The sequence below is a fragment of the Homo sapiens genome, chromosome X (assembly GCF_000001405.40).
Source record: "Homo sapiens chromosome X, GRCh38.p14 Primary Assembly".
Classification (NCBI taxonomy): Eukaryota; Metazoa; Chordata; class Mammalia; order Primates; family Hominidae; genus Homo; species Homo sapiens.
This window is the reverse complement of record NC_000023.11, coordinates 22,160,194-22,186,256: the sequence shown is the minus strand read 5'-3', so window position 1 is coordinate 22,186,256 and position 26,063 is coordinate 22,160,194. Positions and strand designations below refer to the sequence as shown.

At 38.2% G+C, this 26,063-nt stretch overlaps 1 protein-coding gene and 1 long non-coding RNA gene across 7 annotated transcripts in view; one reads left to right on the top strand and one right to left on the bottom strand.

Moving 5' to 3' along the window:
* PHEX (phosphate regulating endopeptidase X-linked) overlaps positions 1–26,063 on the bottom strand; it is a 218,986-nt gene that overhangs the window by 65,054 nt on the left and 127,869 nt on the right. For all 6 annotated transcript variants that reach the window (NM_000444.6, NM_001282754.2, XM_024452390.2 and 3 more), the window contains 2 exons: positions 17,868–17,945; positions 7,881–7,984 (listed from right to left, as the gene is read on the bottom strand). In NM_000444.6, the coding sequence (NP_000435.3) occupies positions 7,881–7,984; positions 17,868–17,945 (182 nt within the window). The remainder of the gene's footprint in view (positions 1–7,880; positions 7,985–17,867; positions 17,946–26,063) is intronic.
* Positions 13,274–23,525, top strand: PHEX-AS1 (PHEX antisense RNA 1). The gene is made up of 5 exons (NR_046639.1): positions 13,274–14,311; positions 14,613–14,747; positions 15,067–15,098; positions 16,402–16,463; positions 22,886–23,525. It is a non-coding gene; the product is annotated as a PHEX antisense RNA 1 (long non-coding RNA).

Sequence of the window (26,063 nt, the reverse complement as noted above, 5' to 3'; positions counted from 1 at the left end):
CTTCTTTCTCAGAAAAGCTGCTCTTTGAACTTTCTATATCAATCAACATGCTGTAAGGAAACCCAACATACATGAAGAGGCCATATGTAGATGTTCTAGTCAACAGTCAGCATCAACCATTAGACATGTGAGAGAGGTAGCCTTCCATATGACTCTAGCCCCAGCCACTATCTGACTGTAACTACATGAAAGACCACAAATGGTCAGGTGCAGTGGCTCATGCCTGTAATCCCAGCACTTTGGGAGGCTGAGGTGGGCAGATCACCTGAAGTCAGGAGTTCGAAACCAGCCTGGCCAACATGGTGAAATGCTGTCTGTACTAAAACTACAAAAATTAGCTCAGCGTGGTGGCGGGCACCTGTAATCTCAGCTACTCAGGAGGCTGAGGCAGGAGAATCGCTTGAACCTGGGAGACGGAGGTTGCAGTGAGCCGAGATCACGCCAATGTACTCCAGCCTGGTGACAGAGTGAGACTCTGTGTCCAAAAAAAAAAAAAAAAACCACAAACGAGAACCATGCAGCTGAGCCTAGTGACCCCCAGAACCATGAGAGAGAAAAATAATGACTGTTGTTTCAGTACTCTAAATTTGGGGGAGGTTTATCACACAGCAATAGATAAATGGAATGCTGAAAAGTTGGCTATCCACAGACTAAGTCCAACCCAATGGGCTGAATCTTCCCAGAAAACTGTTTTGCTTGCCCAACACAATGGCTTAACAAACTATTGAATTGGAATTCCTTCAAGTGGTGTGTGTAATTACTAGTTTTCTACAGTCCCTACCACTCCCTGTTGTTTACACCCATGTAGGTCAACCATTTGTTAACTGACTGGCCCCTGAAGGCATCTGAGTTTGCACAGCTTATGTCCCAACAAGATTTTAAGTTGCTTATGGGCTTTGACTGTTGTCCAAATGGTAAGTGCTGAACAGAAGATCACTAAATCCATTAAAATGAATTTATTGCATGTATACATCCACTTCAATAAACAGAGAATATCATTCAAGTGCTTTAAATTCTTCTTACTATGTCTTTAGGGTGCTTCTGCAGTCTGTGTTTGAGAAAGGATTTGGTGGATAAGGTAAGGAGAGGTCTCATAGAAATTTCAAATCCCACAATAATGGGGATGAAATTATACTGGAGAATGAGATACATAAAAGGAATATAATACCAAAATACAAGAATCTGAAGAAAAAGACATTGGTACACCTATTTCTTTGGACCATATAAAATAGATATACATCAGGCTAAAGTTTTACATTTTTCTTATCAACTCCTACAGATAGTCTAGGGAATATGGAATGGAAAAGCAATAGTGTATTTATTGCTTTCTTATTAATATCCTGCAGATTATATCACTCACATTCCATGCTATAGATAATGCTTTTGCAAACAAAAGTTCTGGGCAGGAACATAATTTATAAAGACATTTAATGCATTTTTACATATTTTTCAAAAGATAGAGAATTCAGACGTGTTTGGTCTCAGTAGAATGAGAGTGAGTTAAAAGTGAGGCGGGCTAAAATAATTTCTGTCAAAGAAGGTGATCCTGAGGGAAAGAAATTACTTTCAACTCAAGCCGAGCAGTAAGTAAATCCTCTATTTTTAAGCAAGCTGATGAAGTGACAATTCTGTGAACCAACCCCTAAATATGTACCTTCAGGGATGACCACCCAATTAATTTCATTCTTGCTGACATTTCCCATCGCCTTAGAAACTTCTTAATGCACATTAGTGCAGCTAAAATGGATTCCATGAGAATAAAAGATAAAGGGTCTTTATCTCCTACACCCACAAAGAAGCAAAACGTTATTTCAGGGCTTTGTGAAAATATAATCATGATGCTGTTCAAAGTAAACTAGTGTAGTAGAGCTACTCCAGAATGATCCCCACTCGATTAACTCATGAATTTTCAGACCTGAAAGATGTCCATTCAAGCCAATGAGTATCATGAGGCTAAAAGTCTCTACAATGCCTGAAAAGGTCCAGCCAGATGTTTCCTTTAAAAAAAAAAAACAAGAAGGAAAAGGAATTTACTCATATCCCTTTACTATGCAAAGAAGACCTTAAATTTCTAAATGTTATTTCCCTGAAATAGACATATAGTCTGAGGAAACAAGAATTACAAGCATTGCACTGATTTCCATTTCTGGAGAACTTTTCCCAAAAGTTAACCAATTTAATACCCTTGTGAAAGAGCTATTTGTTTTTCAATGACAGAAAAGAAAACCACACAAATCTCAGTTTGCCTAAGCCTGCAAAGCCAGTATATTTCTAAGGCATGAATAAAATATTAGAAATAGTTAAGACCATTAGAATCTGAAAGTTCATCAGTATCCTAGGACGATGTTAAAGATAACACATTTAGGAGTTTTTCAATTACTAATCCAGGCCTTTCTACACAACTAAATGAATAATGACATTTTGAAATCAAACAATTAGACTGACTGTATTGCCAATATGCAGGAGCCCCTGAGAAGACCCTGAAAATTCACCAAAAAATTGGTGAAACCCTTCAATTTTCCACAGATTTTTTTTTTTAAAAAAGAGTTGGAACTGATCTGAAGCAAATATTGAAGGGCAAGATTATATAGATCTGTGACTACCGTATTACATGTAGATGGTCATAGGGATACTGGAAATCATTTGCCAAAGTCATCAGATTTGAGTATTGGATTTAAGAAGCCTAAATCTAAAACTATTGAATAATTTAGACTGGGAATGAAACAGGATAGGTGGACTGAGAAATAACGTGATGAGAGGAAAGAACCAAAGACAGTGGAGCAAATGGCTTTAAACCATTATCTATCATTTTTCAAAGCAGTTCTAAAGCTGTTTTCCTTTGTGCTTTTGACTGGAGTCAGGGTTAGGTAGGGGAGAGATTCAGCTTTAGGCCTACCTCTTAAAGTCAGTAACCTCCAATGAATTTTTCAGGTGCATATTATAGGAAGGTTTGAAGGGCAGAGAGCAGGGATGGCCGGATGGAAACATAAGAGGGAGAAGTGGTAATCACCACTTAAGCCAAGGGAAAGCACAGGGGCTCAGAGTTTCTAGAAGCCAGGACAGAACAGGGACTTGAAAGGGAGAGTAGCAAAAGACTAGGCAGCATAAAAACAGCCAGTCAAAGATCTAGAAATCAGAATATTAGCCAAGGTTAAAAAGTGGGCCATGAAAAAAAAAATTGTAATCCATGGAAGCCAGGCTTGCAGGTATAATGGCATGAGAAGGTTGACAAATCATTTCTACAAAAACCAAGTACAAAACTGGACAACATTGTCAACAAATAACCATTTTAGGAATCTGGGAATTCATCAAGGGGGAGCAATAAATTAAACAAAATTTAATATTTAAAAACTGCTAGAACTTGGCATTAAGTAGAGCAGGCACTATGGCCTTTTTGCCTGAGACTACTCCTGTCCCTCCTAGCTCAGTGAGACCTTAGTTTTGTCAGAAAAAGGCTGGCTGGGAAATCAGCAGCTTTGCTGCCCCAGTGGGTAGACTCAACTGGGGGTGGCAGTGAAAAGCCACAGCTTTGTCAGATAAAAATGGCCAACATAGAGGATGAAGCAGAGCAAGAAGGCTGTAGAAACCTCCAGCAAGTGTCCTCCCTGCAGGAACACCAAATTGAACAACTAGCCACACACACACACACACACACACACACACAAAGCATCTTCATAAGAACCAAAATCCAGGTGAACAATCACAATACCTGGTTTTAACATCACATCAAGGAAAGAGGCACTGAAGAGGGTAGGAAAGCCAGTCTTGAATTGCCTATACCGTCCTTCCCTCATTCCCCAGCAGCAGCCACATGGGCACAGAGAGAAAAACCTCTGCGCTTGGGGGAAGGAGAGTACGGTGATTGTGGGACTTTGCACTGGAACTCAGTGCTGTCCTATCACAGTGGAAAGAAACACGGGGCATATGATCATGTAAACTGATGCTAAAGAAGCATTTAATAAAATTCAACATCGTTTCAGGATAAAAACTCTCGAAAAACCGGATATAGAAGGAATATACCTAAACACAGTAATAGTCATATATGACAGAGCCACAGTTAGTATCACACTGAATGGGGAAAAACTGAAAGCCTTTCCTCTAAGATCTAGACAAGACAAGGATGTCCACTTTTACCACTATTATTCAACATAGTACTAGAAGTCCTAGCTAGAGCAATCAGACAACAGAAGGAAATAAGGGGCATCCAAATTAGAAAGAAAGAAGTCAAATTACCCTTGTTTGTAGACAATATGATCTTATATTTGGAAAAACCTAAAGGTTCTACCAAAAAAACTATTAAAATGATAAACTGAGTAAAGTTACAGGATACAAAATCAACATACAAATATCAGTAGCATTTCTATATTCTAAGAGAAAGCGATCTGTAAAAGAAGTCAAGAAGATAATCTCATTTACAATAGCTACGAATAAAATAAAATACCTAGGAATAAACTTAACTAAAGAAGTGAAAGGTCTCCACAATGAAAACTATAAAAACATTGATGCGAGAAATTGAAGAGGACACAAAAAAGTAGATACTCCATGTTAATGGATTAGAAGAATCAATACTGTGAAAACGCCCATACTACCAAAAGCAATCTACAGATTCACTGTAATCCCCATCAAAATATCAATGACATTCTTCAAAGAAATAGAAAAAAATTCCTAAAATTTATATGGAACCACAAAAGATCCAGAATAGCCAATGTTATCCTGAGCAAAAACAACAAAACTGGAAGAATCACATTACTTAACTTCAAATTATACTACAGAGCTATAGTAACCAAAATGGCATGATATTGGCATAAAAACAGACACATAGACACAAAGATCTGAATAGACATTTCTCAAATGAAGGCATACAAAAGGCAAACAGGTATATGAAAAGGTGCACAACATGAATGATTATCAGAGAAATGCAAATCAAAAATTACAATGAGATATCATCTTACCCCAGTTAAAATGGCTTTTATTCAAAAGACAGGCAAAAACAAATTCTGGTGAGGTTGTTGAGAAAAGAGAACCCTTGTACTTTGTTACTGGGAATGTAAATTAGTACAACCACTATGGAGAACAGTTTGGAGGATCCTCGAACAACTAAAAATAGAGCTACCTTACAGTCCACCAATCCCACTGCTGGGTATATACCTAAAAGAAAGAAAATCAGTACATCGAAGGAACATCTGCACTCCCGTGTTTATTGTAGAACTGTTCACAATAGCCAAGATTTGGAAGCAACCTATGTGTTCATCAACAGACAAATGGATAAAGAAAATGTGGTATATATATACAATGGAGTACAATTAAGCCATAAAAAAGAATGAAATCCTGTCATTTACAACTACATGGATGAAACTAGACAATACTAAGTGAAATAAGCCAGCCCCAGAAAGAAAACTTCACATGTTCTCACTTATTTGTGGGAGCTAAAAATGAAAACAATTGAACCCATGGAGATAGAGAGTAGAATGAGGCTGAGAAGGGTACTGGGTCGAGGGGATGGTTAATGGGTACAAAAATATACTTAGATAGAATGAATAAGATCTATTTGATAGCATAACAGGGTGACTGCAGTCAACAACTTTTTATAGATTTAAAAATAACTAAAACTGTATAATTGGATTGTCTGTAACATAAAGAAAGGATAAATGCTTGAGGCTATGGATACCCCATTTACTCTGATGTGATTATTACACATTTTATGCCTGTATTGAAATATCTCATGTACCTCATAAATACGTACACCTACTACATACCCACAACATTTTTTTTTTAATTTTTGAATGGCCAACTTAGTAGAAAACTAACGAGGAAAACCCAGTCAGAAATTTAAAAGAGAGATCCTATAACTGAAATAGTAATAGAAGGGCCAAATAAGCACTCCACACATCCCTGGCTGACTGGGAAACTAGGCACATGTGCAGGGAAGACCAGTGAGGGCCTGGTGGAAGGTGAAATTGAAGGTGGACTGAGAACTGGCTATAACTTTGAAGGTGCTCCCAACCCACACACAGAGCAACTGGCAGAGGGTAGAAGCCCTATGGACTCAAGGTGTTTAAGCACAAGCTCTGACCTAATCACTGATTGAGCACTAAGCTATGTAGACACAGGGACAACCAGCAGGAAGTGAGGCTAATAACTACAAATAAGAGTTAAAAAACTGAGTGGAGACATCGACAGCTACATACCACAGAGAAGATCTATTCGGCAGTATAAGTTAGGACAGTTACTTTTGATTTTAAAAAAAAAAAGCCTCAGAAAAATAAATCAGAATCCAGAGTTGCTACAACATGCTATCTAAACTGTCATTAGCAACAACAACAAAAAATGTTAAGCAAAGGAAAAACTGTAAAAAAAAATTAATTAATTTAATAAAAAGGCAATCAATAGAAACTAACTCTAGTTAGTTTGAGCCCACATATTAGATTTAGCAAAGACTTGAAAGTGACTATTATAGATGACTTCAAAGAATTAAAATAAACTTTATTTGAAGAATTAATAGAAAATATGATGACAATGACTTAACAAAGAATCACAACAGAGAAATAGAAACTACAAAAAACAAACGGAAATTCCGAAGTTGTCAGCCATAAAAAGGAATGAAATAATGGCATTCACAGCAACCTGGATGGAATTGGAGACCATTATCCTATGTAACTTAGGAATGGAAAACCACACATTGTATGTTCTTACTCATAAGAGGGAGCTAAGCTATGAGGACACAAAGGCATAAGAATGATACAGTGGACTTTAGAGACTTAGGGGGAAAGAGTGGGAGGGGGGTGAGGAATAAAAGACTACACACTGATACAGTATACATGTACACTGCTCGTGTGATGGGTGCACTGAAATCTCAGAAATCACCACTAAAGAACTTATTCATGTAACCAACCACCATCTGTTCCCCCAAAATCTATTGAAATAAAAAATAAGTTAAAAAAATAATAATACAATTAAATTAAAAAAAGAAATTCTGGAGTTGAAATCCAGACCAATAGAAATTATCCAATCTGGAGAACAGAGAGAAAAAAAAGCATTGGAGAAGTGGGCCTTAGCAGAACAGAATCCAGTCCCAGGAATCAAAAGCACCAGCAGACAGAACAAAATGTGATCCAAACCTAAGCTGAAGAATTTCTCAGTTGTAAGCCTTTTATTTTCCTGTAAAATGGGGATAACAGTACCTATACCACACAGAATTCGTATGAGGATAAAATGAATTAAAAATTGTAAAGCACTTTCTGGTACAATGTAAACAAATAATAATTGTTAGCTGCTACATTCATCACTGACATTTTGCTAAGGGATGAAATCGTAGCTGGTGGGCTCTGGGCCTAAAAGTTCCTAAGGAAACTCTCCTATCTGTAGGAAAAACTCCTATAGGCAGCTGAGAGGAAGGCAAATAAATCATAACTGCTATTAGATAAAAACAATATAGCTATCAGTTCTTTGATAGGCATTACCTCAACAAATATTTTCTAGTTGCTTCTATACATTTACTTTGACATTTCTAATCATAGTTTAAGTATTTATTCTTTTTTAAGGTCTTCAAAAGTTATTACATGAATGTAAAAATCCAGAGAAATTATTCCCTCTCTATATATTCATAACTAGATCTAGACATAACTTTAATGTTTGCATTCTAATAAGCCTTCTCTTGATATGTGTTGATGCTAGAAATGGGGGACCTGTAATTAGACTTAAGATCTGAATCACGTAATATAAAAAATAAGAGTTGGCAAAACATGACACAGATTTTGCTAAAACAAGTTAACTGGCAAGCCAGCTACTCTGACTTGAGGGGAATTACAAAGTTTAATCTAAAGAGACTCCGCTTCTCACCAATGTATTTATCTATTTAACTTTTTTTGTTTAATACTCACTCTGTTTTTGGAACGGCTTTTCTTAGCCAGAAGAAATCAGACTGTGCTAAATACTTGCGAGTTTGTAGGACGTTGCCAAAGTAGTCGGCTTCTGAAAACTTGATCTGAATAAAACAAACCACAACATCATTGTTCTAAGTAAAGATAAAAGATGGCTCTAAAAAAATACTTCAGCATAGGAAGGAGCAACTAGCAGAGAAGCTGCATCAGTCACAGCCTCTCTCAGCTGTTATCAGTTGACCCAGAAGTCACAAAGCCATGAAATTTAGTCTCAGTGATTTTGTTAACGTAAAAACTTCAAAAATCAATATAGTCATTTCTGGATCACAGTAAAAACACAACAAGAGAAGCTGCAGTCATTTACAATGCGTTCCATTTACTTTCTAATTGAAAAATCTACTTCAACCTTTATAAAACATATTATCTTTGGTTTGAAATTTCTTGGCTCACGAGTCCTTGATCTTTTTTAAAATGTGTACTTTGTTAATTTGTCACGTAAGTTTTTTCAGTAACATGCAGTTTAGTTGGCTGAAAACTCATTTAGCTTATAGACAATGATTTAGTCAAATAATTGGTAGTTGTTCGTAAAGGAAAACAATAAATGTGATTCAGAGACCTATTTTCCACCATAAGCACAATGAAGTCACCAGAATAATTATTAACAGAATGTATCTGTTAACACTCAAAAAGTCTCTGGTCACTAAATATTAATGAAATTACAGAGGCAAATCATAGATTATAGCTTGCATGGGAACACAGAAAGCTGGTAGCAGCTCACAACAATGTTGTCTATTAAGACAAGGAAACAGACATAATTGCTTTTTTAGTTCCTTTCCTTGTTTTGGAAGGAGAATGGCAGACGGTTTCCATTCTATAGGCACTCCATCTACAAAACTAGCAATACCTAACCTAGCTATTTATTGTAAATAAGATCTGTGGAGCTGTTCATGCAATCGTTTGTAGTGACCTCCAATGCTTGGGTTTTTAAATATATTACTATGGAAATTAAGAAAAATACACATTTGAATAAGGAGATAACCAAGGGTAACCAAATTCTTATAAACTGTAATTTTTATAACTTTAATAGTCTTTTAAAAGCAAAAAGTAAAATACTCGTGTATATGAAACCCACAAGGCATTACATTATAGATACGAATGTATATATGCAATTTGATGGTAATAGGCTCGACAGTCACCTACTTGTTGACCAATGTCTGGCTCACATTTAGCTCCTCCCTAACACAGAGTGGGTTCTCATGTCCGTGGAGAAGTTTTTGTTAAGGAGTCATCTTAACAATCTTTCCAGGAGACCAAGCCAAAATATAAAGGAAGGAGTAAAATAACTGAAGGCACATGGAGAAAGGCAGAAATAAAAGTATTGATTCCTGGCACCCTCTGTGTTCTGCTTGGCCAACAAATTATAACACTATGACTTTAAATTGTCCCTCAAACTGCTTGCTCAGGGAAGAGGGGCTGATAAACAAATTGTGGTATATTCACATAATGGAAGGCAATACAACAGTTTACATGATTGTTCTGTATGCATGAACATGAAATAATCTTAAAAATTATGCAGAGTGAATAAGGTAAGTTGTATCTATGAGGAAATTTAAAGTTTTTAAACATGCAAAACAACACTGTATGCTGTTGATGGATGCGTACCTATGTAGCAAAAGCATAAAGAAAGGCATGGGAATAACAATAATAAGACTGAACTCAAGGTAGTGTTTATATGCAGAGATGGAGATAGACGCAGAGGAAGGAGATTAGATCAAGGAAGATTACAGACAAAATTTCAAATGCATCTGTTCATTTAAAATGTGTGTGTGCATGTACAAAGCTAATATGGCAATATGTTTACTATGTGTTAAAATAGATGTGTTCAAATTATTTTACTCATGTTCCAACATTTGAAATGCTTCATAATAAAAAGAAATCATATATACATACATATATATATATATATATATATATTTTTTTTTTTTTTTTTTTGAGACAGTCTCGCTCTGTCACCCAGGCTAGAGTGCAGCAGTGCAATCTCAGCTCACTGCAACCTCTACCTCCCAGGTTCATGCGATTCTTGTGCCTCAGCCTCCCGAGTAGCTGGGATTACAGACATGCACCACCATGCCCAGCTAATTTTTATATTTTTAGTAGAGATGCGGTCTTGCCATGTTGGCCAGGCTGGCCTTGAATTCCTGGACTCAAGTGATCCGCCCACCTTGGCCTCCCAAAGTGCTGGGATTACAGGTGTGGGCCACCGCGCTGGCCAAAATCTTATAATTGATTATATTTTAAGATAAAGGTTTTCTTTTAGCCTCAGAAGAAACAGAGTAAGCACCTTGTTATAGAAAGCAACCTTACTAGCAATCCTAAGGCATTCCCAGATCATATGGTTAAAAGATGTGTCCACTGTTCAACCCTTTGCCTTTTTCAGCTTTTGTTTCCAAGACAGCTCTGCCAAAACCTTCAGAATATGATTATAACTGATAGAAAATTCAGGTATGTTCTTGGGTTCAGAACACATTCTGGGAAATTCTCTCAGAGGAATTTCCTTCAAAAATATTAACTTTTTAAAAATAATATCAGTGGGGTCAGTTTTTACTTTTAGAAAACTTGCTAATTGTGATACTTTCATTACTGTTCCATCTGAAAAAAAAAAATCCCTTGATATTCAGGTTGGTCTACAGACATTAAACAGAAAGCCATCTCAAAACTTTCTAAAGGGCTGGGCACAGTGACTCATGCCTGTAATCCCAACACTTTGGGAGGCCGAGGCTGGCAGATAACTTGAGGTCAGGAGTTCGAGGCCAGCCTGGCCAACATGGTGAAATCCCGTCTCTTCTAAAAATATGAAAATTAACCAGGTGTGGTGGCACATGCCTGTAATCCCAGCTACTCGGGAGGCTGAGGCAGGAGAATCACTTGAACTTGGGAGGTGGAGGTTGCAGTGAGCCGAGATTGTGCCACTGCACTCCAGCCTGGGCAACAGAGGGAGACTCTGCCTAAAAATTAAAAAAAAAAAAAACGTTGTAAAGAAGAAAAGGGTCCCAAGTCTAAAAATACATTAGATAAGTAAGGACCTACCAGAACCCTGAAAATAATTGGGGGAAACAAAACTCAGAGGTAATTAATTACAATTTGCCATAGCTTATTTATGTTTAGAAAGATAATTTAAAAATTGTTTTCATTATTAAGTTGAGAATATTTCTTCTTTCTTAGCCTGGTTTAATTGATCTATTCCATTTATTTAATGGAAATCACAAGTAATAGAGGACAGGTCTTACGTTTTTCCTTGAGACAGGTTAAGTGTTTGGGGGTAGGCAGGGGCCAGTCACTGTTATTCACATATGATAGATGGGAAACAGGGCTAAGGAGATTACGGAATTTGGCAAAGCTACACCGTCCAAGTCATTTGGCTCTGACTCCAATGTTATTTTCGTTGGTCTTAATAAGAGAACCAGTGATTCAAGGACAAAGTGAGATTGAGGAAGGGAGTAGAAGCAGTGATTAAATCAATCATGATACAACTTACTTGAAATACTATACAGCAGTTAAAATCATGGTAACAAAGGCTATAAAGACAGTAGCAAAACAATATGTTACTGTAAAGGTTGGTGTACCAAATTATATGTAAACATCAATTACGGCAGTACAGAAATAGAGAAAAACAAATTAATAAACTGTAACAGAAGTATATATTATGTAGCAATATTATGAGTGCGTTTTCTCTAGTTCCCAAATTTTCTGCCAAAACCTTCAGAATATGATTATAACTGATAGAAAATTCAGATATGTTCTTGGGCTCAGAACACTTTCTGGGAAATTTTCTCAGAAGAATTTCCTTCAAAAATATTAACTTTTAAAAAATAATATCAGTGGGATCAGTTTTTACTTTTAGAAGACTTGCTAATTGTAATAATATTTTGATAATTTTAAATATTTCAAAAGGCCCTTGGATGAGAAAAAGAATTGAAACCCAGCAACTATTGAGAAAGTTCTATTTTTTCTAGAAGTAGAAACAAGAATGAATTCGCATGAATATTTTAAAGCCGCTTGTAATCTCCAAAATGAAAAAATTAAATTTGGCAAGAGACAATACTTGGCTCAAAAGCCTCTTGTCCTTTCAGTTACTGGAAAAAGTCTAGGTCAAGTTGATGATCACTTTCAATCAATTCCATCTCTTGACTTTTCAATTGCGTGACCTTTGGGGAATTAATTGGGATTCTTGTGTCATTTCCCAGGAACAGCTGTCCCGATCATAAAATTCAGGAGAGCCTACATTTCTCTTCTTGAATATCCTATCCCAGATCCACAGACTAAATGGAAGAATAAAGTTATTACCACCACCACCACCCCAAAGATGGAGAACCTGTAATAAGCGCAGAACAAGGAAATGTGTTCAGCTTCTCTGTAGGATAAGTACATGTTTATAAGGCAGTACATAGGAATGCAAATGATCTGTAGTATAGTCTTCGGCCTACATGTAGGAATAGGCAGATGAAAAATACTGAAGCACTAATTGTGGTACTTTCCTTACTGTGCCAGTAGGAAGTGTAAATTCTAGGATACCTTTCATTTAATTTAAATCCATTTAAAGATACTCAGAGATATATCCAAATATCTATTAGAAAGACTTTATGTTAGGCACCCAAAGGATTTTCTGAATACTTAATGGAATCCGTATTTTATATCTACATGTCCCCTTATTCAAACAACAAAGCAACATGCAAGATTGGTGTGTTTAGATGGCTTTGCCCAAAAGTAATGTGTGTCTATACATGTAGACATACTTATTATGTTGGTGCAAAAGTAATTGCAGTTTTTGGCATTAATAGTAATGGCAAAAACCACAATTACTTTTGCACCAACCTAATATATACTGAGGTGATGCTCAAAATGTTTAATAATCCACATATACAGTGTACCATGGAGGATGCAATTCCTACAAACAGCTATGTGAAGGTGGGTCTGAGGGAGTTCCAGCCAGCACACTAGCACTGGAACCAGATGTCCCATCTCCACACTGGGGCTGGTCTTGGTCTGCTCTGACCAGTGGAACAGTCTGGATGAAGGCCAATGTGAGAGAGTTACAGAGGCCTGGCTGGAAGGTTGGGGGGCACCAGGGTGTCCCACCTCCAATGCCCACCCTTAGCTCTCCAGTGCCATGATGGCCAGGGGTCCCTTGAAAGAGCTGAGCGCAATGTTTTGTGTTTTTTAACAAATAGTAAAGAATTATTTTAATATTTTAACAACCTCTTTTTCTGCAGCATTCTAGCATTCCATCTGAATATCACCTCACTCTTGCAGAGTGGCACTCTCTGTCATGTACACACACACACACACACACACTACACACACACACTAGTGTTTCACTGGCCAAAGTAGACCAGACCCACCACAGAGAATCTTACATAGGTTCACATATCTGCATATCCCTATATGCACATTTATGTCTATATATGTGTGTATCACTCACCAGAAACTTTGGCCTCTGAAAATTTTCTCATTTCCAATTCTCCTAAGTAAATGGAGGCCAGCCATGATTCTGACTTTGGTCCTTAGTAACGTCCTTAATAGTGCCAGTTATTTACCTGTAGTTTTTCAGCTACATGCCTACCCTTTCACTCTGTTCCGTAATGCTGGGGACTGGGAATCTGAAAACTGTTTCTCAAGCTCCTTTGCCAATTAGCTTCCTGCAAATAGGAGGCACTACAGGAAATTAGTGGGTTGCAGAAGGGAAAAGGGTGCTGTGTTGCTGTCTCTCACTCTCTCTCCCCCTCTACTCCCTCCCTTTTCTTTTTCTGACAATAACTCTGGAAGAATCTTTAGTTCCTCCTGCAAAGCTCAGCTCTGGAGTGGCAGTTCTCCTCTACTCTCCTAAGTGACGGTACCATCACCTCCTCCCTTCTGTGACCCTAGACACAGGAGTCGCAGCTGCTTTCTAAAGTTACTAATCTGTGGTTTATCTCATTTTTCCCTCTTCTTGCCTTCCAACATATTTCATGTATTAAATTCCTTGTTTAAAATACCTAGTGTGCTTTTTGCTTTCCTGGCTAATACTGAAATATTTCCAAAATTGGGAGAGACTCACTTTTGAATCTATTTCTATTAAGAATCAATGAAATGGAATACTTTATTAGGCTGATTTGAAAATGGGCTCATGCCTACCTTTTTAGGCTAACAGGCTTTCCTGCATGTTGATGGGGGTTCAAATAAAGGGCATTTTATTTCTTCCTGTTCTTTTCAAAAACTACAAGATTGTTGTTCGGAAATGCTTTGCTGAGTACCTCAGTTTACCTTGTCATCCTTAAAAAATTTCTGATTCCTTTGCATATTTACCTCTTAATTCTATCTCATTTGCTTTTATTTCCACATGAGCCCAACTTCAATTTTCAACATTTCTCCTTGACCTTCGTCTGATCCATCAGGTAATCTCGCTCCTCTTTCCTTTTGCATTTGTGCCTGATGAATCATATCTCCACCTGTCTCAAATGCAGCATGCTGTTTTTCATTTGTAACAGCCTCTCATGCTCAGAGCTCGTATTACCAGAAATTTCTCATAGGTCCTATAGCAGTCCTTATCTACATGTTTCTTAAAACTGAAAACAGTCTCATTGTGTACCAGGAATACTTCAGTCTTTTTGCTATTGCCCTCAGTGACAATATTACAATCTATCATATCATCCTTTACCTATTTTTAGGGTGGGTTTTATTCATTTTCTCTATCAGTGATATGATTTGGCTCTGTGAGAGTCACAGGAGTACACAGCTGCGACTCCTGTGTCTAGGGTCACAGAAGGGAGGAGGTGATGGTACCATCACTTAGGAGAGTAGAGGAGAACTGCCTGCCACTCCAGAGCTGAGGTTTGGAGGAGGGACTGAAGTCACTGTCAGAAAAAGAAAAGGGCGGGGCTTGAGGGGGAGAGAAAGTGAGAGAGCACAAATCTCATCTCGAATTGTAATCCCCACGTGTCAAGGGAGGGACTTGTAATCCCCATATGTCAAGGGAGGGAGGTGATTGAATCATGGGGGCAGTTTCCCCCATGCTGTTCTTGTGATAGTGAGTTCTCATGAGATCTGATGGTTTTAAAAGTGGCAGTTTTTTCCTGAACTCTCACTCTTCCCTCCTGCCGCCTTGTGAAGAAGGTGCCTGTTTCCCCTTCACTTTCCGCCATGATTGTAGGTTTCCTGAGGCCTCCCCAGCCGTGTGGAACTGTGAGTCAATTAAACCTCTTTCCTCTATAAATTATCCAGTCTCGGGTATTTCTTTATAGCACCGTGTAAATTGACTAAAACAATCGGTTTCTGAATACAAATGTCTTTTTACTTCATGTACCTGGAATTTTTTTCACTGTCAGGTTTTTAAACTGTTAAAACTCTTGGGCGTAATTGTGTCTGCTTTGGCAATGAGTCAGATGAAAGCCATTTCTTCAAAGAAGTGATTAAAAATCTTGGTGTGTAATGTCTTCAGTTCAGGCCCCAGAGAAACAAAGAAGCACAGCCAACATGGCATCCTGTTTGGCATCTGGTTTCTTTTCACAAAAGATATTGCATTCAATGGGTCCTTAAATTTGGGGCTCTGAACTTAGCAACAGAATGCCAACAAAACTTGATCAACTAAATATTGTGAGTAAGCCTTAAGTTCTACCTTATTCGATTAAAGCTTGAGACTGCTCCATCTGTATACCCTTTTAAATCAATTTGAGGGACCTGGACAGTGCATGAGTTAATTCATGAGGACTTTTTCAAACCAAAATAGTTCACTACCACAAGTGTGAATTGAGGATGTCATAGCTAACACATGTATTGTGCTGATTGTATGTTAGGGTTCATTCTAAACACTTCAAATATGTTAACTTATTTGATCCTCCCAGAAATCCTATATGGGAGGGATTGGTATGACCTTCATTCTTCAGATGAAGAAAGGCACAGAGAGGATACATAACCTACCCTAGGTAACAAGGTGGTACATGGTAGACTGGGGGTTTTACTCCAGGCACTTTGACTCCACGGTCCCTATTTATAACCTCTACATCAAACTGTCTCTCAAACCTTCTCATCCACATGCTGACTCAGAATATATACCAATAGTATGGAGTTACCCAGGTTCTCCTGCTAAGGTACTTTGTGCCCTGATGATACTCTTCTTAGTAGCAACAGCAGTTTAACCTGTGGTTTATCTATTTTCCCTTTTCTTGCCTTCCAACCCATTTCCTGTATTAAATTCCCTGTTTAAAATACCTACTGTGCTTTTTGCTTTCCTGGCTGATACAGATATATTTCCAAAATTGGTAGAAATTCACGCTTGAGTCTATTTCTATTAAGGATCAATGAAATGGAATATTTTATATGGCTGATTTGAAAATGGACCACAAATGGTCCATATTGATCCGCAAAGCTACCCTTTATAGGAAGTAGGCTATACTCTGAGCCAGAGTATTATGCCAAGTGCTTTTACATTTATACAGTCTCATCTAATCTTCCCAACAATACTAAGACTTGGTTATTATATTTCCAGTAGCCAGATAACCAAAGGGAGGCTAACCGAAGTTAAGTAACCTACACAGGATGAAATAACTAGTAAGTACAAGAAGCAGAATTCAAACCCAGGCCCATGATACTGGAGCCTGTGCTCTTAACCATTTGATAACATGGCCTTCCCTCTGCTCTTCTTCCAACAGCCCTGGTCACACTGCCCCCACCAAGTCTCCACCCTGATGCCTCTGTTCCTCCAGCATAGCTGCCTAAAAAGGACCCTCAAGAATCCCTTGTCTGATTACAGGCAGAGCTTCCTGAGCCCAGATATCAGTCCTGGCTCTGAAAGTCTGTGTGGAACTGAGGAGCTCACTTAAATTATTGAGTCTCTATGTCCTTTTCTGCAAAATGGGAATGAACATCATCTATTTCACAGAATCACTGAAGGAATTAAAAGATAATGTACATGAATATGTCAAGTGCTTCAATATTTTTAGTTACGATAATAATAATGGGATTTTCAGCATCATCAAAACAGTGTATAATAAGATAGACTGAGTTTTAGGATGCTATGAGGCATCATTATTTTCTTCCAGAGCAACTGTATCAATATTTTGGGAGGCTATATCTTAGAGCCCAATGGAGGAAGATTCTAATTAATGCTTTCTCTCACTTTTGAATAGTCTTGTAAAATTTTGATGCTCATCTACAAAGCTGGGATCGTTTTCAGATATGCCACTTGTTGAACCACAATTTCAGGAAAGAGCTATACCTCAGAACTATAGTTACTTAAAGAATTTCAAAAGACTACATTTTCAAGAAAATCTAGTGAATAGTAAAAACAGGTTTTTTTAAATGAGGAAGAAAAATCACTTATCAGAACTATTTGTAGGAGAGGAAATAACAGTGCTTGTGAATAGAAAGGCCTGTAATTAATACACCTACTGGAAAATACATGTCCAAAAATATTGAAATAAAAAAGAATTATGACCATTTTTCATCAGTAACTTACTGCAAATACACAATCCAATTCACAATAAATTATAGAGTCGTATGTATATGCATTTAATTTGCCAAAACACTCATAAAGTTTAATGAAGTTAACTCCCAGCAGGCAGATTTATTACTATTCATTTAATACGAATGAAGCAAATAAAAAGTATTTAACAACAAACATGATGCATTTGCCATTAGAACATGCCCACTAATTGTAACATACTCAATTTGCTTAATTCTTTCTTTTATGATCAAATTAGGCCAAACCCAAGTCCATTTGTTTTTTGGTACCCACTCAGCTACGCATCGTTTCTGACACTTCTTTATTTTGAATCTGCCCTAAATCTTGTGATCTGCCTGGCATATTCAGGCTCATATCTAGCCAAGGAATTAATCAAAAGTTGGTGTTTTCTGGCATCACCAGTTTTAATTGCTAGGACTTGGGTTAGTTGAAAGGCACAAGGCCAGTAAAACTTGCCAGAAAAAAAAAAGTACAGTAAATTTAGCACTTACAGCTTTGAGGTCTTCATTAACATGAGTATCATTCATTATAAACTCTGGATAGCCAACTTTTGCCAAAACAGCTCTCGCCTACAAAAAGGAAAAAGAAAAATAATGTCAGAGTTTCAGCACTTAAATCATTAATAATCACAAGATGTAGAAATGCGCCCTTCATCTGAAAACTCCATTTACTGAATATCTACTATATGCAAGCCACTGTGAAGGGCAAAAATATATAGATATATATTGAGAGACCTCAGTATACTAAAAATGCAGTGAATGTAGCAAATAACTGTCTAGTACAATGTAAACAAAATAAAAAATTTAATAGAAATAGACAATATTGTTATCAAAGTCCAGAGGAGAGACTGTTTCTGCATGGAGAAAATGCTTAATGGAGAAGGTGACTGAATCGAGTCTTAAGAGAATGGTTAGGATTTCAAAATGTAGAGCTAGAAGAACATTCCAGGAGAAGAAACAGGGGCAAAGACAGAGGCAAAAATATGTGCAAACCATACATCTGATAAAGGGTTAATATCCAAAATATATTTAAAACTCAACTCAATATCAAGAAAGCAAATCACCTGGTTAAAAAATGGGGAAAGGAGGTCGGGCACAGTTGTTCATGCCTGTAATCCCAGAGCTTTGGGAGGCTGAGGCAGGAGGATTGCTTGAGGCCAGGAATTCAAGACCAGCCTGGGCAACACAGCGGGACCCTGTCTCTACAAAAATAAATTTTAAAAAAAGCCGGGCATGGTGGCACCTGCCTATAGTTCCAATTACTTGGGAGGTTGAGGCAGGAGGATCACTTGAGCCTGGGAGGTAGAGGCTGCAGTGAACTATGATCACACTACTGCACTCCAGCCTGGGTGACAGAACAAGACCCTGTCTCCAAAAAAAAAAAAAAAAAGAAATTAAAAAATTAAAAAGGGAAAATAACGTGAAAATACATTTCTCAAAAGAAGACATGCAAATTGTCAACAGATTTTTTTAATGATCCACATCATTACTCATCAGGGAAATAAAAATTAAAAACACAATGAGATATTACCTATCACCAGTTAGAATGGCGACTATCAACAAGACAAGAGATAACAAGTGTTGGTAAGGGTGTGGAGAAAAGGGAACTCTTGAGCACTGTTGGTGGCAATATAATTTGGTACAGTCACTATGAAAAACACTATGGAGGTTCCTCTAAAAATTAAAAATGTAACTACCATACAAAGCAGTAATCCTACTTCTGGGGATATATCCAAAGGAAATGAAATCAGTACGCTAAAGAGAGTGCCTCCATGTTCATTGAAGCACTATTCAAAATAGCCAAGATATGGAATTAACCTAAATGTCTATTAACAGAGGAATGGATTAAAAATGTAGTATATGTACACAATGGAATATAAAATGTAGTATATATACACAATGGAATACTATTCAGCTTTAAAAAAGAAGAAAATCCTGTCATTTGTGACAACGTGGATGAATCTGTAGGACTTCATGCTAAGTGAAATAAGCCAGGCACCAAAAGGCAAATACTGCATGATCTCATTCATGCGAAATTTAAAGCAGTCAAACTCATAACAGAGTACAGTAGGATGGTGGTTACCAGGGGTGGGGGAATGGGGTTAGGGAGTTGGTCAAAAGATACAAAATTTCAGTTAGATAAGAGGAATAAGTTTAGGAGATGTATTGTACAACATAGTGACTATAGTTAATATCAATGTATTGTACACTAGAAAATGGCTAAGGGAGTAGATTTTAAATGTTCTTACCACAAAAATGATAAATATATGAGGTGATGGATATGTTAATTTACCCATTTTCTAATGTATACATGTATCAAAACATCATGTTGTACATCATATATATATATATAAAATTTTGACAGTATATAGTCAGTTTAAATACATAAAAATGAAAAAAACTACAAGGAGATAGCAAACACACACGATATGGCATATTGGAGAGAGGGCGAGTAATTTAATGTAGCTGGACTATAAGTACATGAGGATGGAGAACAGAAAATAATGCAGGAAAATTGGCCTGGGGTCAGATCACAGGGATTCCTGAATGCCATGTTAACAAGCCTATATTTTATTTTACAGCTAAGAGAGAGCTAAATATGTTTAGCATGGGAATAAAAGGAGATGAGTCATGCTTCAGGAAGATTATCTTTGCAACATTGTGAAAGATGGCCAGGATGCCAGAAAGATTGGAGGCAGTGATCTAGAATAATTTAAGATACATCATAATGTCATAACCATCATTTAGATAGACAAAGGTACTAATTATCCTCTGTGTTTTATAACAGATAGGGAATAAATAAAGGAAAAACAAACTTAGGCACATATAAAGAACCTCAAGAGCAGCGATTGGCAAAATATGGTCCCTGGGCCAAATCCAGCCACCCTACCCCTGTTTTTATAAATAAAGTTTTATTGGAACATAGCCACACTCATTTGTTTACCTGTCAACTATGGCTGCTTCTGCAGTACAGTTGTAGAGTTGAATAATTGGGTCAGACACCCTGTGGCCCACAAAGCCTCAAATATTTTATCTGGCCCTTTCTAGAAAAAGTTCGTCAACCCTTGCTTTAGAGAAACTTTACAGTTCCATGTGAAAATTTCTCTCTCCCTTCTCCAGATTCTGGGTTTCATAAAAGCAAAAGAGAAGCTTACAAGTACACTGTCAGGGCTCTGACCAGATTCCCTGGGATCCCTTTTATAACTTCTGTACATCCCTCCAGCATCTATGTTTTTTCTTTTCTAATGGCCAACACCTGAGACTTTCTGAAGGCCTGCCCTAGGAACTACTAGAGCTCCTTGCCTGCAATCAAAAATAGCTAGTTCCTGGGGGTTTATTTGCCTTCTACCCACTTTTCCTGCACCTGCACCTCCGCCTCCGCCTCTGCCTCCACCCAAGCAGCCCTAAGCGGCAATATGAAAGCCCAGCCCCCTTGCCTCAATTCAGGACAAACTCTGAGGTATAATTTGTACTTCCAAAGTTCCCTGCAGGATCAGACTAGTTCTGAGATGTCTCCTGAAATTGGACTCTCATCCCTCCCTGTCTTGCTTCTCCCATTCCCTTACTGATTTCTCTTGGGAGTATTTGTTTAATGAATCACTTACACAGGAATTCTCATCTCCAGATCTGCCTCCAGATGACCCAACATAAGACCTAGGCAACCCCAAACACGTTGGTTTTATTCCAGCAAAGCCACAAAGCAAAACCAGTGACCTCTGGACACTGCTCTTGGCAACGAGTTCTTTCCTTTAGTCCCTTTCAATTTTCCTCACTCAAGAAATAAACATAGTAAGATAGTACACTTTCCTTACCTTCCTTGAAATAATTCAGATATTAAATATCAGCAGAATCCTGAAGCTCAAGACTTAGGATTTTACAAGGGCTGTAGGACATAGTCATAATGGGTTTTGCTGTTTCACAGACTCAAGTATAGCACAGATCAAATTACACCTTCAAAACTCTGTGAGTTACACACACTAAAAGCTTGATGTGACCCAGATAGCAGATAACTAGAGGTTACAACTCTACCCCCAACACCAAACTATGTCATACATCTATAGGTTACCTCATTCTGAGATTATTCTATTATTTCCGGCATTGTATTTAATTTTGCACTATATTTTATCAGCTCGCTATAAGTCATATGCATAACTATAGCAAGTAAAGAATTCCAGATAGTTTTGGAGAGAAAGTGAGAAAAAGAGAGAGAGAGAAAAGAAAAGAAGAAAAGAAAAGAACGAACGAACGGACAAGCTGAGTCATCCACAATTGTTTTCTGAAGACTGGTCTTTCCAGAGCATGCTGGTGAATTATGCATTGTTTTTTAAACCTCATCTCTGGGACCCCCACTGCACTACAGAGCCTCACAGAATATATTACCTTCTGCACCATCTATGCAGGTTATTGAATCCTTTTTTATTATTTATTGAGCATCATCATGACTTGAAGATAATCAGAACACATACAAAGAATCCCTATTTACCTCCCAAAGATACATACCTAGAATAAGGTAATAATACTAGTAGCAACATTGCCAACATCTGAAGAGAGTGTTCTTCTTCCTAAAATATGCTATATATGTATTCCTCTATTCAGATTCAAATGTTTTTTTCTGCCACAGACTTCGTTGTCAATTCCTCCTCATCCTACCCCACCCCATTCTACATTTTTCCCTGAGAAGCTTCAGAAATACATCTTGCAATATCCCATGGCTCCAGGTTAGACTGCCAATGAGAAGCACTCATAGGCAATTCCAAAGGTAGAAGAGGAGATGCCATTCATTTGCTGTTGGTAGCCTTATACAGATATGTGGGCATCTGCAGACAGCAGATACAGCCCTTTTCCAGCAACTTCCAGGCATTCTCCTGAGAAAGACCTCTTTGGTGTACAAGCAGCAGAGATCATTGACAGACTCTGCCCTTCACTCCCCAGCCCTCTGAAAGGTTACCTAAGCCTCCAATTCCCTGTATTAAATGTCTTGCTGGTTGATATACTTAGAAGAGTGTCTGGTTTCCTGAATGAACCCTAAGTAAGGCAAATAGTAATCACATCACTTTTTAATTTTTCAAAATGGGAGAAGTGAAGCACCAATAGTTTGATGGCTTGAAGGGCAAAGTATTAGTGAGTCAGGTCTGAGATTAATTACCCTATTGGTTACATGGACAAAAAGGAAAGGCAAGTCCCACTGTAAATGCTGAGAGAGCAGTGATATAAATATTTAACAGATTGCATATTATATCCTGCAAGAAATATTTCCTAGGCTGTTTGTGGCTGATCAAAAACTCCAGGGCTTTCCATACCCAGTGCATGCATTTTCATGCTTTATTCATACAGACATGTAGAGAGAAGCTGCACTTGACAGCTGGACATCCGTTCCTCAATAGAGGAGGTTTACGCAGCTGCTGATCTTCACTACCTCTGTGACCTTAGGCAGAGTACTTAACTTTTTGAAATAAACACCGCCTACTGTCTACCTAATAACTATTCTCCCTTTCTTCTCTTACTGTCAGGACTCCAATTCTGCTCAGGATGACAATGGACTCAACAACAACAACAACAACAACAACAAAATAGCTGTGTTGCCCAGCTTCCTTTCCAACTGGAGTCAGCTACAGGATGAGATTCGGGCCAATGACATTTAAGAAAAACTTCTTGTTGCACTTCCAATGATCCATTTTAAAAGGGGACAGATTCATCAGCATATGCTTTCTGCCTCGAGTCCAGGGTTTCTCAACACTTTGGGCCAGATAATTCTTGCTCTGGGGTTTGTCCTATAAATTGTAGGATGTTTAGCAGCATCTTTGGCTTCTACAAATTAGATACCAGGAGCAACCCATGCCCCCCTCCGCAAGTTGTGACAACCAAAAATATCTCCATATATTGCCAAATGTGCCCCTGGTGGCAAAATCACCTCCAGCTGAGAACTACTGCTTTAGCCTTTCCTCTTCTTCCTTTCTGGAATGCTGATGCAATGCCAGAAGCCGAGCAGCCATCTAGTAATCACAAGGCAACACATATGAGGAAAAAATCTACATGCTGAAGATGGTGGGATGAAAAGCTGATGGCATTCGAAGGCCAGCATATTAGACCTGGACTGCCTCCCTCTTTTCCCTTCATGACATACAGAAAATAAAGCCCTTATTTGTTTGAGGCATTATGTGTCATGTTTTCCATTAGCTAATGTAATCCTAACACACTCTCCTTTACATCAGATGTTGAGAAAAAAATTACTAAAAATTAGTACCTATTTCATAGCATTGTCTGCAAGAGTTCAGGATGACATTGCATGTAAAACACTTTTTTCCCTTGGTCCAGAGTACATGATGAGCAAATGTTAGTTGTAGACTACACCAAGAAAGTAGAAACGTGACTTTTTCCAAGGATTTGGAGTAACTGTGATGTGTAGTGTTTGGAGGTCTTCCAGAAGAGTCCAGGTCATCTTATACCCCTAACCAAACACCTGAAACCCCTGAGAAATAATGTCACTCTTTTAGTCATAGGTCCAGTTTCAGAAGGCCACACTTGTGGTGAGAGGAAAAATATCGAGAAAAGAAATGCTTAGGGAGAAAAGCTATTGAGGCAACCCTCTTATCAATGGAAGACAAATGTACAAGCTTCTTGGAGCATGGTAGGAGATTTTCCTAGCAAAGCCAGACTCTGCATATGAGTCAAAAGAATCCAGGCTATTTGCAGCCCCCCAAAAGTTGGAGGACTCTTTTGAGAGCCACTATTGGCACACCTCTGAAAACAGACACAAGAAACACTACCAAATCTAACCCTAGAAAAGATCAAAGATACAGGTTGCTTTTAGCACTTGCCATCTTGGTTTCTGCCTTCCTCCTCTTTCTCTTTCTCTTATCTGTTCCTTTCAACACCTAGCAGGTCCTATGTGTTCATACCACTTGCAATACCATCGTACCCTAGTTGGCCTTTCCTTAGCAATACTCTGTGCTCCAAAGATATCTCCCCCTTCCCTTCTCATCCATCAAAATTATTAATTCTTCAAGGTTGCTAATCCACTAGCTGCCACTGGGGCCTCAAACTAGTTTATAATAGAATGTAAGTCACTAATAGCAATCTAATATATTTACTCTGGAGAAATACTTTTATTTAAAAGAGTAGTTTATTAGCCAAAGGAATAAATACAATTAAATGAGAGGTTTTGTAGCTGAGAGAATCTTCTAATACTATTCAAATTAAACCAATAGCCTATTCCACCTAATCACCATGTTACCACAGGTAACATAGCAAGTGACCAATACTCAATAAATATTAATTCATATAATGAATAATTTGATAAACCCACTATGATCAATGTCATCAAGAGTATCAGAAAATATAAAAGGCTATATTTTACATTTAACCTTTAAATATAAGAGGATTAACATACAATCATAAACATCATTCAGTGCTGTTCACACCAAGGTACGTTTCCCTGGGTTTTGTTGTTGTTGTCTTGAGACAGTCTCACGGTGTCATCCAGGCTGGAGTGCAGTAGCACGATCTCGGCTCATTGCAACCTCCATGTCCCAGGTTCAAGTAATTCTTGTGCCTCAGCCTACCAAGTAGCTGGGATCACAGGCGTGTGCCACCATGCCCAGCTAACATTAAGGTATATTTCAATATTAACTGATCTTACCACAGGAGAGAAAAAAGGGGAGAAAATGAGATATTTTGTGAGAACATATAAAACATTCTGGAAAATTAAGCAAGATATAAAATCCATTGCAATTAATTTTTTTTTTTGAGGTGGAGCCTCGCTCTGTCAACCAGGTTGGAGTGTAGTGGCACAATCTCAGCCCACTGCAACCTCCACCTCTCGGGTTCAAGCATCTTCTGCTTCAGCCTCCCACCGAGTAGCTGGGATTACAGGCATGCACCACCATTCCCGGCTAATTTTTGTATTTTTTAGTAGAGACGGAGTTTCATCATGTTGGCCAGGCTGGTCTCGAACTCCTGACCTCAAATGATATGTCCACCTCAGCCTCCCAAAGTGCTGGGATTACAGGTGTGAGCCACCACACTCAGCTTCCAATGCAATTAATTCTTGGTGGCAAACAAAACTATATATTTTATGTAAGCTATTTCAATCAATCAGCAAATACTTACTGATATGTTTTGGCTGTATCCCCACCCAAATCTCAAATTGTAGCTCCCATAATTCCCACGTCATGGGAGAGACCCAGTGGGAGGTAATTGATTCATGAGGGTGGGTCTTTCCTGTGCTGTTCTCTTGATAGTGAGTAAGTCTCAGGAGATCTGATGGTTTTATGAAGGGGAGTTCCTCTGCACATGCTTGCTTTCTTTTTTCTTTTCTTTTTTTTTTTTTTTTGAGACGGAGTTTCACTCTTGTTGCCCAGGCTGAAGTGCAATGCCACAATCTCAGCTCACTGCAACCTCCACCTCCTGGGTTCAAGTGATTCTCCTGCCTCAGCGTCCCAAGTAGCTGGGATGTCAGGTGCCCACACCATGTCCAGCTAATTTTTTGTATTTTTAGTGGAGATGGGGTTTTACCATATTGGCCAGGCTGGTCTCGAACTCCTGACCTCAGGTGATCCACCTGCCTCAGCCTCCCAAAGTGCTGGGATTACAGGCGTGAGACACTGTGCCCAGCCTGCACATGCTTTCTCTTGCTTGCCTGCCGCTATGCAAGATATGACTTTGCTCTTCCTTTGCCTTCCGCCATGA